The sequence below is a fragment of the Homo sapiens genome, chromosome 3 (genome assembly GCF_000001405.40).
Source record: "Homo sapiens chromosome 3, GRCh38.p14 Primary Assembly".
NCBI lineage: Eukaryota > Metazoa > Chordata > Mammalia > Primates > Hominidae > Homo > Homo sapiens.
In genome coordinates this window covers 167,787,304-167,803,911 of record NC_000003.12, presented here as the reverse complement: position 1 = coordinate 167,803,911, position 16,608 = coordinate 167,787,304, and the positions used below count along the sequence as shown (strand labels likewise).

General features: G+C 35.2%; 1 protein-coding gene across 3 annotated transcripts in view; it reads right to left on the bottom strand.

The window, feature by feature from the left end:
- The window catches only part of SERPINI1 (serpin family I member 1), an 89,849-nt gene that overhangs the window by 21,658 nt on the left and 51,583 nt on the right, over window positions 1–16,608 (bottom strand). For all 3 annotated transcript variants that reach the window (NM_005025.5, NM_001122752.2, XM_017006618.3), the window contains exons 2-5: window positions 14,534–14,801; window positions 13,310–13,540; window positions 11,128–11,322; window positions 9,088–9,292 (exon numbers count right to left, since the gene is read on the bottom strand). In NM_005025.5, the coding sequence (NP_005016.1) occupies window positions 9,088–9,292; window positions 11,128–11,322; window positions 13,310–13,540; window positions 14,534–14,783 (881 nt within the window). In that variant the 5' untranslated portion in view covers window positions 14,784–14,801. The remainder of the gene's footprint in view (window positions 1–9,087; window positions 9,293–11,127; window positions 11,323–13,309; window positions 13,541–14,533; window positions 14,802–16,608) is intronic.

Genomic DNA, 16,608 nt, shown 5'->3' with positions numbered 1-16,608 from the left:
AACCCTTGAAGCAGGTATTTTTGTTATTCTCAGGTAATAGAAAACATTGAGTAGCAGAAAGATGAAATAACCTGTATAACCAAGGTCATACAGTTAATAAGTAGCATAGCAGGGCTATGGATCCAGGTGGTATTACAGTTGTCCTGATCCATTTAAAATAAGAAAGAGAAGGAAGATATTAGTAGGGGATTCTTTTTGCTTCTTAAAAGCAGCTTAGTTTGTTTCACACTTTAGTGATGAAACACTAGCTAGTCAGGTGATGATGAGTGACCGATCCAGGCGAACTTCGGCAAGTTTCTTAATTTCTGAGGCTCAGTTTTGGCACAGGAAAATGGCAATAATAATACCTATTTCATAGCATTGTTGGAAAGATTAAATAAGGTTAGATCATAGGATGGTGCTAGCATGCAGGAGGCATGCAACGAGGAGTAGATACCATTAATATCATTTATTATATTGTAGTTATGTATAACATGTCACATTATTATAGATGTTAGGGTGTCGTATGTTTGCATTCCAGTAGTAATTGGTGTAATTTGATTAAATAGCTATATTAATCCCTGCCACCTTAACTGTAAATCAGCCAAATCTATTGTCTTATTTATTTATTTATTTATTTATTTATTTTTATTATTATTATACTTTAAGTTTTGGGGTACATGTGCACAATGTGCAGGTTAGTTACATATGTATACATGTGCCATGCTGGTGCGCTGCACCCACTAACTCGTCATCTAGCATTAGGTATATATCCCAATGCTATCCCTCCCCCTCCCCCAACCCCACAACAGTCCCCAGAGTGTGATGTTCCCCTTCCTGTGTCCATGTGTTCTCATTGTTCAATTCCCACCTATGAGTGAGAATATGCGGTGTTTGGTTTTTTCATCTTGCGATAGTTTACTGAGAATGATGATTTCCAATTTCATCCATGTCCCTACAAAGGACATGAACTCATCATTTTTTATGGCTGCATAGTATTCCGTGGTGTATATGTGCCACATTTTCGTAATCCAGTCTATCATTGTTGGACATTTGGGTTGGTTCCAAGTCTTTGCTATTGTGAATAATGCCTCAATAAACATACGTGTGCATGTGTCTTTATAGCAGCATGATTTATAGTCCTTTGGGTATATACCCAGTAATGGGATGGCTGGGTCAAATGGTATTTCTAGTTCTAGATCCCTGAGGAATCGCCACACTGACTTCCACAATGGTTGAACTAGTTTACAGTCCCACCAACAGTGTAAAAGTGTTCCTATTTCTCCACATCCTCTCCAGCACCTGTTGTTTCCTGACTTTTTAATGATTGCCATTCTAACTGGTGTGAGATGGCATCTCATTGTGGTTTTGATTTGCATTTCTCTGATGGCCAGTGATGGTGAGCATTTTTTCATGTGTTTTTTGGCTGCATAAATGTCTTCTTTTGAGAAGTGTCTGTTCATGTCCTTCGGCCACTTTTTGATGGGGTTGTTTGTTTTTTTCTTGTAAATTTGTTTGAGTTCATTGTAGATTCTGGATATTAGCCCTTTGTCAGATGAGTAGGTTGCAAAAATTTTCTCCCATTTTGTAGGTTGCCTGTTCACTCTGATGGTAGTTTGTTTTGCTGTGCAGAAGCTCTTTAGTTTAATTAGATCCCATTTGTCAATTTTGGCTTTTGTTGCCATTGCTTTTGGTGTTTTAGACATGAAGTCCTTGCCCATGCCTATGTCCCGAATGGTAATGCCTAGGTTTTCTTCTAGGGTTTTTATGGTTTTAGGTCTAACGTTTAAGTCTTTAATCCATCTTGAATTGATTTTTGTATAAGGTGTAAGGAAGGGATCCAGTTTCAGCTTTCTACATATGGCTAGCCAGTTTCCCCAGCACCATTTATTAAATAGGGAATCCTTTCCCCATTGCTTGTTTTTCTCAGGTTTGTCAAAGATCAGATAGTTGTAGATATGCGGCATTATTTCTGAGGGCTCTGTTCTGTTCCAATATTTGCAATATCTAGCATAAGCAAACCACATAGGTTGCAAATGAAATAAAATCTAGGTGTTTGTAAGACCTTGTTCAAAGTTGAAGATAGGGAGTAAATAATCTCTAGTTGTCCATTCCTTGACTTTTTTAAAAAGCAAACTATTGAAAAATACTGATTATTTATTATTTCTTTCCTCTTAATAAAAGATAATATTAATATAAATAATCGTTATCTCCCATATATTGAGTGCTTACTATGTTTCAGGCACTATGCAAATCCTTTTATGAATAATATATTATTTAATGATTTCCATGATGCTCTCGAACAACCCTATGAGATAAGTGTCATTATCTCCTGGCTGCAGAAGGCTAAACTGAAGCTTAAAAGAGCTAAGCAACAAGCAACTTTCTCTAATCACACAGATAATAGGTGGTAGAATGAGGATATGAATGGAGGTCTTTCTGACAGTAAAGCCCCCGCATCACTAATCACTATAATTCCAACAACAACTTTTAAAAATTAAAAAAAAAATTAGAAGTAGATTTTACATTTCATAAATTATAAACATTAAAAGCCATGACACTGCTTTTATAAAGCCAAAGGGCATGCCTATTTTAATAAAGGCATACAATGTAATTTCTGCATTTGCAACTTTCTACCTGAATAAGTTGAAGAGCCATATGGAGGGTAGAGGTTTGAAGACCTGCAGAACAAGTGTTAGAAAATAACAAATATATCCTAGGTAGGAGACTATAACACATATAAGGATTAAAAACCCAATCATACCCTTTGTAGAAAAATCTAATGAAAAGCACTCATGTTAAAAAACAAAATCAGGGCCGGGTGCAGTGGCCCATGCCTGTAATCCCAGCACTTTGGGAGGCCGAGGCAGGTGGATCACCTGAGGTCAGGAGTTCGAGACCAGCCTGGCCAATATGGCAAAAACCCATCTCTACTAAAAACACAAAAATTAGCTGGACATGGTGGCGCATGCCTGTAATCCCAGCTACTTAGGAGGCTGAGGCAGGAGAATGGCTTTTGAACCTGGGAGGTGGAGGTTGCAGTGCTCTTGCAGAGCCAAGACCATGCCATTGCATTCCAGCCTGGGTGACAGAGTGAGATTCTGTCTAAAAGAAAAACAAAACAAAACAAAACAAAACAGCAACAACAAAAAAGCAGACGACTTATGTAGTTTTCTTTACAAACATGAAACTAAAATGCTTTATTAATAGGCAATTATTTCAAAATATCAGGATAGTTTCTGGTTACAAAATAGAGAACCACTTCACATCCTTTGATGTCCAACACTCTGATCACAAATGACAAATCTGAGACTACAAAGCCAGAGTAGACTGATACTACATACAGCAAGGTACATCTGCTTCCAAGTATTAAAGTATTTGATGCTGACTTTAGAAAAATCTTTTTATATCTAAGCTATATCAGTAAAGACTGAAAAGGAAGCATATACACTGAAGAGGAGAAAATTCAAAAGAATCAAGTTTAAAAAACTCAATTTAGAGAGAAGTATATATAAAGCTACCTATAAGATTAACACAGTGTAAATACCAGGACTTAAAATGTACACTAAACAAACTACAATAATATTAACAATAGGTAATAATCACATAATGCTTACGCTGTAGCAGATTTTATACTTAAGTGCTTTTTGGGTGTTTTACATAAATATTTTATATATGAAACAAACTATTTTTGCTACCATGGATAAATGGAAGGATCTGGCAATCTTATTTAAATCTTAGAGATGTACAACTATGTATATAAATCTTGCGGTATTTCATTGGATTTGGTAATAGGTACAGCAATCTTACCTTTTCTTGAATAGATTCTTATATTTTGGATAAAAATACAATTTCAATTCAGCATATAATTTCTGTAGAACTTACTGTTAAGAGGAAAAAAACTGCTAAAATACAAAAGCAATTTCTTCTACACGACCCTCCCCTGCATATACCCTCCCCTTTACCTCTTAAAGACAGCATTTTATATATTTTTATTATTTTGATAATAATCTACAAGAAACTTAAATTTACAAGAAAAAATACCCATCAAAAAGTGGGCAAAGGATATGAACAGACACTTCTCAAAAGAAGACATTTATGTGGCCAACAAACATATGAAAAAAAGCTCATCAGCACTGGTCATTAGAGAAATGCAAATCAAAAGCACAATAAGATACCACCATCTCATGCCAGTTAGAATGGCGATCATTAAAAAGTCAGAAAACAACAGGTGCTGGAGAGGATGTGGAGAAATAGTAATGCTTTTACACTGTTGGTGGGAGTGTAAATTAGTTCAACCATTGTGGAAGACAGTGTGGCAATTCCTCAAGGATCTAGAACCAGAAATAGCATTTGACCCAGCAATCCCATTACTGGGTATATACCCAAAGGATTATAAATCATTCTACTATAAAGACACACACACACGTATGTTTATTGCAGCACTATTCACAATAGCAAAGACTTGGAACCAACCCAAATGTCCATCAGTGATAGACTGGATAAAGAAAATGTGGCACATATATACCATGGAATATTATGCAGCCATAAAAAAGAATGAGTTCATGTCCTTTGCAGGGACATGGATGAAGCTGGAAAGCATCATCCTCAGCAAACTAACACAGGAACAGAAAACCAAACACCGCATGTTGTCACTCACAAGTGGGAGTTGAACAATAAGAATGCATGGACACAAGGAAGGGAACATCACACACCGGGGCCTGTTGGAGGGTTGGGGCCTTGGGGAGGGACAGCATTAGGAGAAATACCTAATGTAGGTGATGGGTTGATGGGTGCAGCAAACCACCATGGCACGTGTATACCTATGTAACAAACCTGCATGTTCTGCACATGTATCCCAGAACTTGAAGTATAAAGAGAAAGCTCAAAAAATATATATAAAGGCATTTTAATATGAAAAAATAAAAAGCTAAAAAAACCTTTTATTTTAGATTCAAGGGATACGTATGTAGGTTTGTTACATGGGTATATTGCATATTGCTGAGGTTTAGGATACAAATGATCCTGTCACCCAGATAGTGAGCACAGCACCCAATAGTTTTTCCACCCTTGCCCCCTTTCCGTCTTCCCTCCTCTAGTCATCCTCAGTGTCTGTCATTGCCATCTTTATGTCCATGAGTACCCAAAATTTAGCTCCCACTTATAAGTGAGAAAATGCAGTATTTGGTTTTCAAGGACAGTGTTTGAAAGCTGTTTGTATAAATTCTAGCAAAATAGGAAGTAAAAGTACCTGTCAAGCAGGACAAGAATGTGGTCAAAATACAGAAATGCAAGTTGCATTTTCAGAGTAATATCTCTCTGTGGATAAAACTATGCAAACCATTAAAATTGACACTTGAGTAAACACAGAGTATAGCTATGAAAAACATTTTTACCTTTGCTAAAAATGGGTCACATAAATCATTACCATTATCAAACATTTAGTGGATCCTAATGCTGTAAAATGGAGAAGGTGGAGAGTTTCACACTGATTATTGTAACATATAAGTATTTGAAAAGAGCCATTCTGTTAAAAGGGGAATCCAGAGTTATTTATTTTGCTATTTAGCCTCCCTATCTATGCATTAGCCATGTACAGGGAGAATTTATGGAACTTCTGGAAAAATTGATACATGATAATTACCTGTGCCTAATTTAGTACAGGCATGAATATGAGCAAGACAGCCAAACTATTTCATAATTGAAGAGTATCTCTTAGGAAATGAAAATTTAATTTTCTTCTGCTGCCACATTCAGTTTCTCAGTGGACAGGACCTAGAGGCCACATTTTCTAGTGAATATGGTTGAATTAGAATGTATAATATTTAGTAAGCATTCATTTAGAATTCTGTTAATATACTCCTAAATAAATTTGCATCCTCATAGAATTGGAGCATTTGGAAGCACTGCACTTAATTCATGGATTTAATAAGAGAAGCATTAACACTGTACTGAATTTCTCATTTTATCAAAAAGAATTCTTCATAAAATGCAAGAAAAAATACAAAATTAATTGTGAAAGGTCATTAGATGAGGGCCAACATAGACTAAATGTTTTATAACTTTAGGCCTGATTTACATAGTAATTTAAATTTAATCATTCATGTTCAAAAGTAAATTGTTCTTTGGAATTAAGGTACATTGTTTATATATTTAGTATATAAATGTCAATTATCATACATAAAAAAAAAACGCTTGGTAGGTATTCATTAACTACCTCTCCTTAAGAATAGACTTATAATGGAATATTTCTACATATATGTATTGTCACAGAAAGTTATGCATGCTAAATATCTTAGCCAAAAGGATTTGGGTTATGATTGCCTTGACTTTTGTATATAGACAAGAAAATATGTGGCTATATATAGCCATATGCAGAAAATTGAAACTGGATCCCTTCCTTACACCTTATACAAAAGTTAACTCAAGATGGATTAAAGACTTAAATGTAAAACCAAAAACTATAAAAACCCTAGAAGAAAACCTAGGCAATACCATTCAGGACACAGACACAGGCAAAGATTACATGAGAAAAACATCAAAAGCGATTGCAACAAAAGCAAAACTTAACAAATGGGATTTAATTAAATTAAAGAGCTTCTGCGCAGCAATGAAACTATCATCAGAGTGAACAGAAAACCTACAGAAAGGGAGGAAATTCTTCCAATCTATCCATCTGACAAAGGTCTAATATCCAGAATCTATAAGAAAATTTACAAGGAGTAAACAATCACATTAAAAAGTAGGCAAATGGCATGAACAACATGACTCAAAAGAAGACATGTATGCAGCCAACAAACATGAAAAACAGCTCAACATCACTGAACATTAGAGAAATTCAAATCAAAACCACAGTGAGATACCATCTCATGCCAGTCAGAATGGCAATTATTAAAAAGTCAAGAAACAACACATGCTGGCAAGGCTGTGGAGAAAAAGGAACTTTTTTACACTGTTGGTGGAAATGTAAATTAGTTCAACCATTGTGGAAGACAGTGACTCCTCAAAGATCTAGAACCAGAAATACCATTTGACCCAGCAATCCCATTACCGGGTATATACCCAAAGGATTACAAATCATTCTATTATAAAGATACATGCACACATATGTTCATTGCAGCACTATTCACAATAGCAAAGACATGGAATCAACCCAAAATGCCATGCCCATCAAGGACAGACCAGATAAAAAAAAAATGTTGTACATATACACCATGGAATACTATGCAGCCATAAAAAGGAATGAGATCATGCCCTTTGCAGGGACATGGATGGAGCTGGGAGCTATTATCTTCAGCAAACTGACACAGGAACAGAAAACCAAACAGTGCATGTTCTCACTTATAAGTGGGAGCTGAACAATTAGAACACATGGACACAGGGAGGGGAACAACACACATTGGGGCCTGTCAGGGGGTTGCGGGGAGGGAGAGTATCAGGATAAATAGCTAACGCATGCAAGGCTTAATACCTAGGTGATGAGTTGATAGGTGCAGCAAACTACCATGGCACACGTTTACCTATGTAACAAACCTGCACATTCTGCACATATATACCAGACCTTAAAATAAAATAAAATATAAAAAATAGAAAATATATGGCTATATATTTATAGTTATATATTATGAATATATAACATGACATGCTATATAATAAATTATGACATAACATAATATTCCATATTATGAATATATTATAAAACAATTTTCCAGGCAAAAACTCCATAGTTCCAAATAGATCTCCTTCACTTACATAACAAACTATCAGCTAAGTTTTTAGAAACATTGATATTTACATAAAATGTAATCCTTAAATGATAATTCCTAAAATTAGAATAAATATGAATGGGTTAATCAGTTATTAATAATTCATCTTTAATACTAATAACTCATTTATCACCTTAATGCTCACAGTAATTAATCATACTTGAACAATTTTCTTAATATGGAATGTGTTTTAACTGTACTTTCACGTACATACATACGTATATATTTAATCTGTTTTTATTGATATGTCTTGTTTTCTAGACTAAAATTTACATAGTATGCTAATAAACATGTTCTACGTGTTTACTGGCCTAGTTTTCCTACTAGGTTTTAAGGTATTCAAGGATAGAATAAACATTTTCAGTTCAGTTTCATTTTGTAAACACTTACTGTGTTCTTTCTACAGGAAGGAAAACTGGCTCTACCCTAGAACTTACAGAAAGAAAACTAGCCCTACAAAAAGATAATGTTATTATGGGATGGTAACAAGTAATAACAGAAAGGTGTATAAGTGAAGCAAAAATGAGGGTAACTTGCTCCAGGTAGTTCCATGGGAGGCTTCAGAGAAGAACTGGTTCTAGAGGTGTACCCTGAAGGCTAAGCAACACTATCTTGGGAAAGAAATATGAGGAGGGCAGTTTAGGCCAATGCAAGAACATAAGTGGAGATTCAGAGACATGAAAAGAGCATGATGTACGTGGCATAATCACAAGTACATGGACAGAACATGCTACAACATGCTTGATGTGGTGAGTGGCCAGAAATGGGGTTGAGAAGGGGATGGCATTCAGGACATCAAAGGCATTGTGTGCATCTTATTCTTTTAGCCACAGGGAGAATTTTGAGCAGAGTTGCATCTTCCTGCTAATTTATGGTTGCATCTCAGCACCTAGCACAGTGACTTGCTTGCAGTTCTTCTAGCAATGTCAGAGATTGTTTCCTCTCCAGTCATAATCAATCTTAAGTGTTAATAAAATACAGAAGACTGTCAATGCAAATGATATTCAGACAAAACAGATAGATAAATTTTCTAAAACAAAGACAAGAACACTGAATTATATCTGAAACTAGGTCTCGATGAATAGCACCGAATGAACCAATAAGTGAGCATGTGTCTACGGGAAGGACCACATGAGTATGAAAGAAATGACTATGAAAGAATACTAAAAAGAAGAAAATCAAAGAAGAAGGAGAAGGAGAAAGAGAAGGAGAAGAACAAGAATAAGAAGAGAGTGGCACAAGAATTATAATTCGAAAGCAGTTCGAAGAGTTTTTCTGGGTCAGATTTTCATTGATAGCCCATCGTCCATGCTGTGGGACGGGTGACACAGGAACCTCATACCTGGGCAGGTATACTTCTACTTTTTGCTTCTTCACAGAGTTTGCCCATTCTTCAACCAGCTGTGCTTTGACTAATGGCTCCAGAGTAGCAAGAGGAACTTCCTGTCTGGACAGCACCAGCATCATGCTTATTTCATCTCCTTCATATGGTATTTCTAGGACTTGGTAGATACCACCAGCTTCATTGGAGCCATCACTAAATTCCCCTAAAAAGAAAATAAAGGCCATAAAAGATGCCTATCAAAGCTTAAAAAAAGCTGGGGGCGAGAGATGAAAGACTACATATTTGGTATAGTGTACACTGCTCAGGTACTTGTGCAACAAAATCTCACAAATCACCACTAAAGAAGTTTTTCATGTAACCAAAAACACTTGTTCCCCAAAAGTATTGAAATAAAATCTAAAAAAAAATAAATAAAAAGGTTTAAATTTGTTATATATGTTTCTTCCCAAATAGTATATAGAATATAAAGAAATTCAAGCATCTGATAAAAAGCAGGTTTATTTGAAAATAGGCCCTAAAATTCAAATAAGTTCACAGCCCTGTATAATTTATTTTATTTTAGAATCCACAGAATTATTTCACATTTATAATAACATGTATTCAAGACTTGATTTTTATTTTTAAATGAGATAATTCAATATATCTGAAGTGTAGCATTAGAAACAATGAAAAGCCCTGGTTAGAAAAATAAAGCCTTGGCTCCAAGTTGACTGCAAAGCACATTGATCAATATTCACCTGATTTTTAAGAAGGGAAAATTTGACCATTTAATACCTGGCACTTTATTATCACAAAAACTACAAGTTTTAAAGCAAAGTTTGCAGAGTCAAAATGAAATCTAAGCATTGTATAATATTTAGCTATTATATTTGTGAATATTGATATCTCCAAATTAGGTAATTAGGTAAATGAGGCAATTGGCTTTGTGCTCTATGAACTTAGCCAAATTAACACACACACACACACACACACACACACACACATACATATGGCCAAAATGAACTATATATATATACACACAGTATATATAGTTTTATCTACATATAAAACCTGTATGTATATAATTTTAGAGACAGGGTCTTGCTCTGCCACCTAAGCTGGAGTGCGGTGGTGTGATCATAGCTCACTGCAGCCTCAAACTCTTGGGCTCAAGTGATCTTCCTCCTTCAGCCTCCCAAGTAGCTAGGACTATAGGTATGTACCATTATGCCTAGCTAATTAAAAATATATATATATATATATATATTTGTAGAGAAAGGGTCTTGCTGTGTTGCCCAAGCTAGTCCGAACTCCTGGCTTCAAGGAATCCTCCTACCTCTGTCTCTCAAAGTACTGGGATTACAGGCATGAGCCACAGCAGCTGGCCTGTACTGTGCTTTTAATAGAATAAAACTACTAGTACTAACATATACCTGGCTAAAAATTACCTTTCTGATTATGACTTAACAAATTATTACAAGTCAATATAGTGGATAAGAAGGACTAATACCCTAAACTTCTGAAGAGTCCAATAAAACACCTTTGAAAATAATGCCAAAGATATTGAATTATATTAAAAATTATAGGCTCTCAATAAATTAAAGCATAAACAAACAATTATGTTTGGCCATACATACACATGTCTAAAATCAAATTTTTTTAAAAGTCTTTGTATAAGAAGAATGTTTGTAATTTAAAAAGTGGTGCAGAGCCTAAATCAAGTGCTTCGTGGAACATATGGTTCACTAAAACCCATCCTAAACCCAATGAGTTTTTGGAGTAAATCAGAACATTCTCACACAATGTCAGGTATTTTCAGATGAATAAAGCTACTCTGCAGGTGTGGTTGACTTATAAATTTGAAAATACTCTGGAAACCATCAATGAATATAATATTTACTCAGAAACTAATTAGAGGGTTTTTAAAATGGAGCCAAAAAATTGAATTGTAGCCCAAATTAGATTGACAAGGAGTTTGAATATGAATGCTTCATGTTTTTCTTAGAAATCTGTTGATATTCTGCAAGAAGAGAGAAATAAAAGCAAAAAATGTCTTACCATAATAAAATTCTCCTTGCTGATACATCATTGGAATTTGGACTTCACTTTCATCATCTTTAGTGAAAGAAAAGGTTCTAGTATTTTCAGGCCTAAACTGCGACTTCCAGTTCCCCTTGAAATAGACAGCATTAATGAGGGCCAGATAAGTGGCAGCATCAAAATCCCTTGGGGATACCAAATCTTTCACCAGATCTATTTAGGAAAAAATGAATAGATAAAAATTCATGTTAAACTGGAAGATCAAGGGGGACCAGAAGATTTTCAAATCACCATCTGATAGAGTGGTCCAGAGAAACTGTACACCAAATTTACAATGAAAATAAAAAGTATCTTACTTCCAAAGGGAAAAGAGTTATACACACACACATACACACACACTACATATATATATATGTGTGTGTGTATATATATATATGTGTGTATATATATATGTGTGTGTATATATATATAAAAAAGAAATTAAGGGCATTCAAAACACCCGTATCACCTGAAATAATACTAGTAGCTTCCTGATACACAAACTACAGAACCACATACAATATAAGCTTAGACTTAATCACTTTCTAGTTGCAATGATGCATGTAAAACTCTTAACACAGAGTAAACACTCAATAAATGCTTCAAAGTTTATTCTGTTTTTTGTTTGTTTGTTTGTTTTACAAACAGTCTCTCTGTGTCACCTAGGCTGGAGTGCAATGGTATGATCTCTGCTCACTGCAAACTCTGTCTCCTGGGTTCAAGTGATTCTCATGCCTCAGCCTCCTGAACAGCTGGGATTACAGGTGTGTGCCACCACACCTGGCTAATTTCTGTATTTTTAGAAGAGATGGGGTCTCACCATGTCAGCCAGGCTGGTCACAAACTCCTAGCCTCAAGTGATCCACTCCACTTGGCCTCCCAGAGTGCTGGGATTACAGGGCATGAGCCACTGTGCCCAGTCCTAAGTTTATTCTTGAACAATGTACGTGATTAAATTATCAATTTCAAATTCTTCCCTGTGTATACTGGACATCATTCTGCCAATATACCAATTGCTTTTGGGTAGGTGAAAACAGATGAATGAAAGCCAGTTTAAATCATGATGTATTAGTGTTTATCATCTGAAATATTCCTTTCCAAATCTATTTTAAAGGATATTGGGTCTTTGCTGTTTGCTAAACGTGTCTAAAGGAGTTTGAAAACAAATGGGTTTTAATAGTTGAATCTACTTCATATGCATTATCACCCCTTGATGTATTCTTTGACTATTAAAAGACTACATTTAAGTTTCTTTTATTGTCATCTTTTTTTAATCTCATAGATAAAAAACATATGACAAAAATTTGCTCTGTATTCTCTCATTGTATTAATCATGGCACTTCTTAAGGTAAAAGATGCCTACATCTTGGAGATTAAGGGATATTGAGTATCTGTTCAGGGTTATTTTTGTTGTTGTTCCAATGTAAAGTTCAAGATTAACATGATTTGGGTAGCTTTGAAAATATGGCTTCATTTAATGAACAGCTATAAAAATTTACTTTTAATTTAGTCTCAATTTTAGGACTGTGATTTCAATTATTTTGCTGGTAAAATTGGAAAATAAAATGCTAAAATATGAAACATTTGGAAACCCTAAATACATTTTAAAAATATAAAATAGCAATAAAATTTCGAATGAATGCATCTCATTCTAATTTCTCTCCATTTTGGGGGACTTAAAATAAGCTGCTCTTTTGAAAATGAATCATATACAAATGTTTTAAATTACCAATGAAGTTCTTTGGTTCAAAAGCCAACAAACCTGTATAAACTCTGATTTTTAATTCTTTTTTACTCTATTTTAATCACATTGTTATGAAAGCCAACTGCCATTCTATCTAGTAACTAATTTATTAAATAGGACAAGCAAAATTTCATAAAGTGGTTAAGATTACAGAGGAAACCCATCAATCAGAGAGTAAAGATTTCAGATTATCACTGCCAAATTCTATATATGCCAAAAGATTTAACTTCTTTCTCAAATGTTCATTCATAACAATGTTTCTCAAATAGGCCATAATCTATACAAAATAATTATTAGATACCCAACTAAATGCTCTCAAACATTCAAAATGCAAAAGGAACAAGGAGGAAATACTTTCAGAAGTTAAAGACAGTTAAAACTAAGCTACTAGAGGAAGAAAGGAACCAAGTGACATACTGTTTGTGTTATTCTCCACCCACTTATTGATGTAGTTGGCCACGGCTACATTTTGACTGAAGTCCACATGATTTACTGCTGCATTAAAATATTTTTTCATCATTTGCAAAAACTCCTCATTGACATGAAATCCATTTTGCACAAACAAGGAATTGGCAATTTTCATCACATATTGGCTCTCTTTAGCAGTTACCATGTTTGAAAACTCCTTCAAGAAAGAAAATTCTTCACCTGAAAGATGAGAAAGGATAAGTTTATTTGTAGAACAAACACGGTGAAATGTCAAGGAGAGTGGAGGAGCATTAAAGCACAGCAAGGGAGATTAACCAAACAGGCACCTGGGGGAAAAGTGCCAGGCTTTCCCCCACATTGATATGGTCCAATACTTGTACTATTTCTAGATGCTCAAATTAACTTTTTGCAAGTTAATATCATCTACTGATATTATTTTTTATTTCATTGTTATTTTGCTACAATCTATAGAGACTGTTTTCTTCCAAATTACTAGGTTACTTTGATGAAATTAAACTTCTTTTATACTATTAGAAAAAAGTACCTAGTTTAAAATTCAAGATCATCCTTTACATTTTACTCAGTAGACCTTTTAATTTTAAAACTAGAAAAGCCATTAGAAATTGTTTTAATTTTTAACTTTTTAATGAGCTAATTCACACGTATATCAGAGCATTAAAATAGAAATCAAACATCATGTCAAAGTGATTACAAAATACCATTAGGCTAGAAATTTCCCCCAATACATAGAATTTTTATAATAAGATAACACTTCAAAAAAAATCTTGGATGCTATTTAAACAAGAGGATACTGCTGATTTTAAGCAAAAATTTCTGATATTCTTAGCAAACCATGCTGTCTTTCTTTGTAGTACTCATCATATTTGTAATTTTTCATTTATTTGTGCGATAAATATGTGCCTCTCTCTCTACACTGAAAACTCCAGAAAAATGTTTGCTTTTTTTGATCACAAGGAGTTTATGTAAATCATAATAATTTTTAAAAGATGTAATTTCCTTAGATTCATTCAGCCAGAAGTGGAATCAGGAATTAACACATTTCTTGGGTTTCCTAATCCTTCTAGCCATACCATTTCAATGAGATTGTTTTTTACCCTGTGTAAATATTGCTGTGTCTAGAATAAGAATACAACATAACTGAGTCAAAGTCAAATTCAAAAGTCTTGAGAAATCAAACCTGATCACTCTTACCATTTTTTAGGCTGTCATATCCCATTGAGTGGCGGATTTCTTTCTGGGTAGATCCTTGGGCCCCAAGTTCCATCATTCCCATTGCAAGAGCAATACTCAATGGAGAGAAGAGAATATTTTCATCTTCACCAGTGGCTCTAAGACGATTATACATATTCACTGACAAGTCAGCAATGGCTTCCTCAGGGAAAGTGGCCCCTGTAGCCATACTTTGCAGAACCAGCAAAGAGAAGAGTCCAAGGAAAGCCATATTGTAACAGTTTCAAGCCTAAAAAACAACAATTTACATATTAATTATTAGTTATCTCTATAACAAAAGTCTCATGGAAGGATATGTTGGGAGGTTCTACTTTTAAAAAGTCAATTAACAGTTAAATGAACAAATAACACTGCTAAGTTCTGAGGATTCTCCCAGGAACAAGATACCATGGTCCCCACCTTCACGGGGTTAAGAGTATGTATAGTTACTTATACAACAAGTAATTACAAGTCATGTTTGGTGAAACTAATTTATCAGTTTTTCATAGCCTCGCCAAATACAGTTTGATCATGACTTTGAATGGACTTACTCTAGCTTTCACTAAACTACATAGGTCTAGGACAAGTATAATGAAAACCAAAAGATATTTACAGGGCTTAAGATGAACTAGCACCACTAGGCATTTGAAAATGTCACTGCACCCATTTATAAAGTAAATGCACCTTGCAGCTGGGTTACCAACTGGTGAGCGGAGATCAGACATATACCTGCCTCAAATCCCAGTTTATTCATTCCAGGTTGCAGAGTCCACAGGAAGTGGTAAACCAGAGAAGGAGCAGACTCAGCACATCCTTGTGTGATTGTTCCTCACGTATTGGTTCCTAGGAGGTTGCTGCTCTCCCAGTGACAATCTTTGGGCAGGGAGGAGCCCCCTACCAAAGTTGAGAATGAGGCTGAATTCTTGCTACGACACAGTCCATTTATATTCAGGCTTATGTTACCATTTCAGCTTACACCAAACAAACTGGTGTTTCTATTTAAATTAATATTTCTAATTATCAGGCTCATCAGGTTCTTGAACCAAATTGAAGGGCATCAAGGCCACATTTTCTCTTGGAGAAAAAAAAGCACCGTCAGTGCCCAGATATCTCTGAATAATATCTCTGCTTCTTGGCATGCCAGTGTTCCAGAAGCCCTGTCTTCCCACAAACAGCCTGACTTGTGCACACTGGGGACACGATTTCCTCTTTCCTTTGTATTCTCCCATTTTGTCACTGCAGGCATTTGGAAAGCTAAACTGTTTATTCATACAATTAAGTAACTTACTTGTTCTTGATCATTTAAAAAAATCACTAAAACAACATGTCAAGTGATATTGAGCAAATGCATTTGGAAAATTGTATTTTAATTATGGTTGAGCATTAATAGTCTCCATTATTCAATTAACAGAGTACATACACATTTAACTGAAGAGCAGAGTGATTCCAACAGGCTTATGAATTAGAAGATCCTAATCAGTCCTGTAACATTTATTTGTAACTCCAATTTCAGAGAACTGCCTGGTGACTTTGTAAGTCCTTCACATTTTCATGTTAGAAGCAACAGTTTTTTTGTCTGAAAAGTTCCAACGTCCTCTGCCCTCACCCCTTCACCCTCCTGCATTTGTATGGAAGTTTAAATAGTTATTGCTTGTTTAGGAAGGTAAGTCTCAGCCTCTTTGTAAATATGAACTCTCACCACCTCCGTTGCTAATGGGATGACAGCTAATGGGAGATGGAGTGCACTGCTGCGGGGCAGGCTCTGTCACTCATGCAGCATTAGGATAAAGCCAGGTGCCAAGAGCACAGCAGCCCTGCCAGTCTACTGATTTCAGCCACCGTTGGGGGGCTGCCACTGCTTTGGCATTCTTACTTCCTTTTGTACTCCAGAGAACTCCAGGAAAAGGCAGAAGCTTTACTCGTGGTGACGCATGTGATAGGTTTAAACAAACCTACTGTACTGCAAGTTGTATAAAAGTATAGCACAATTACATACAATACACAATACTTGATAATGATAATAAATGACTGTGTTACTGGTTTATGTATTTACTATA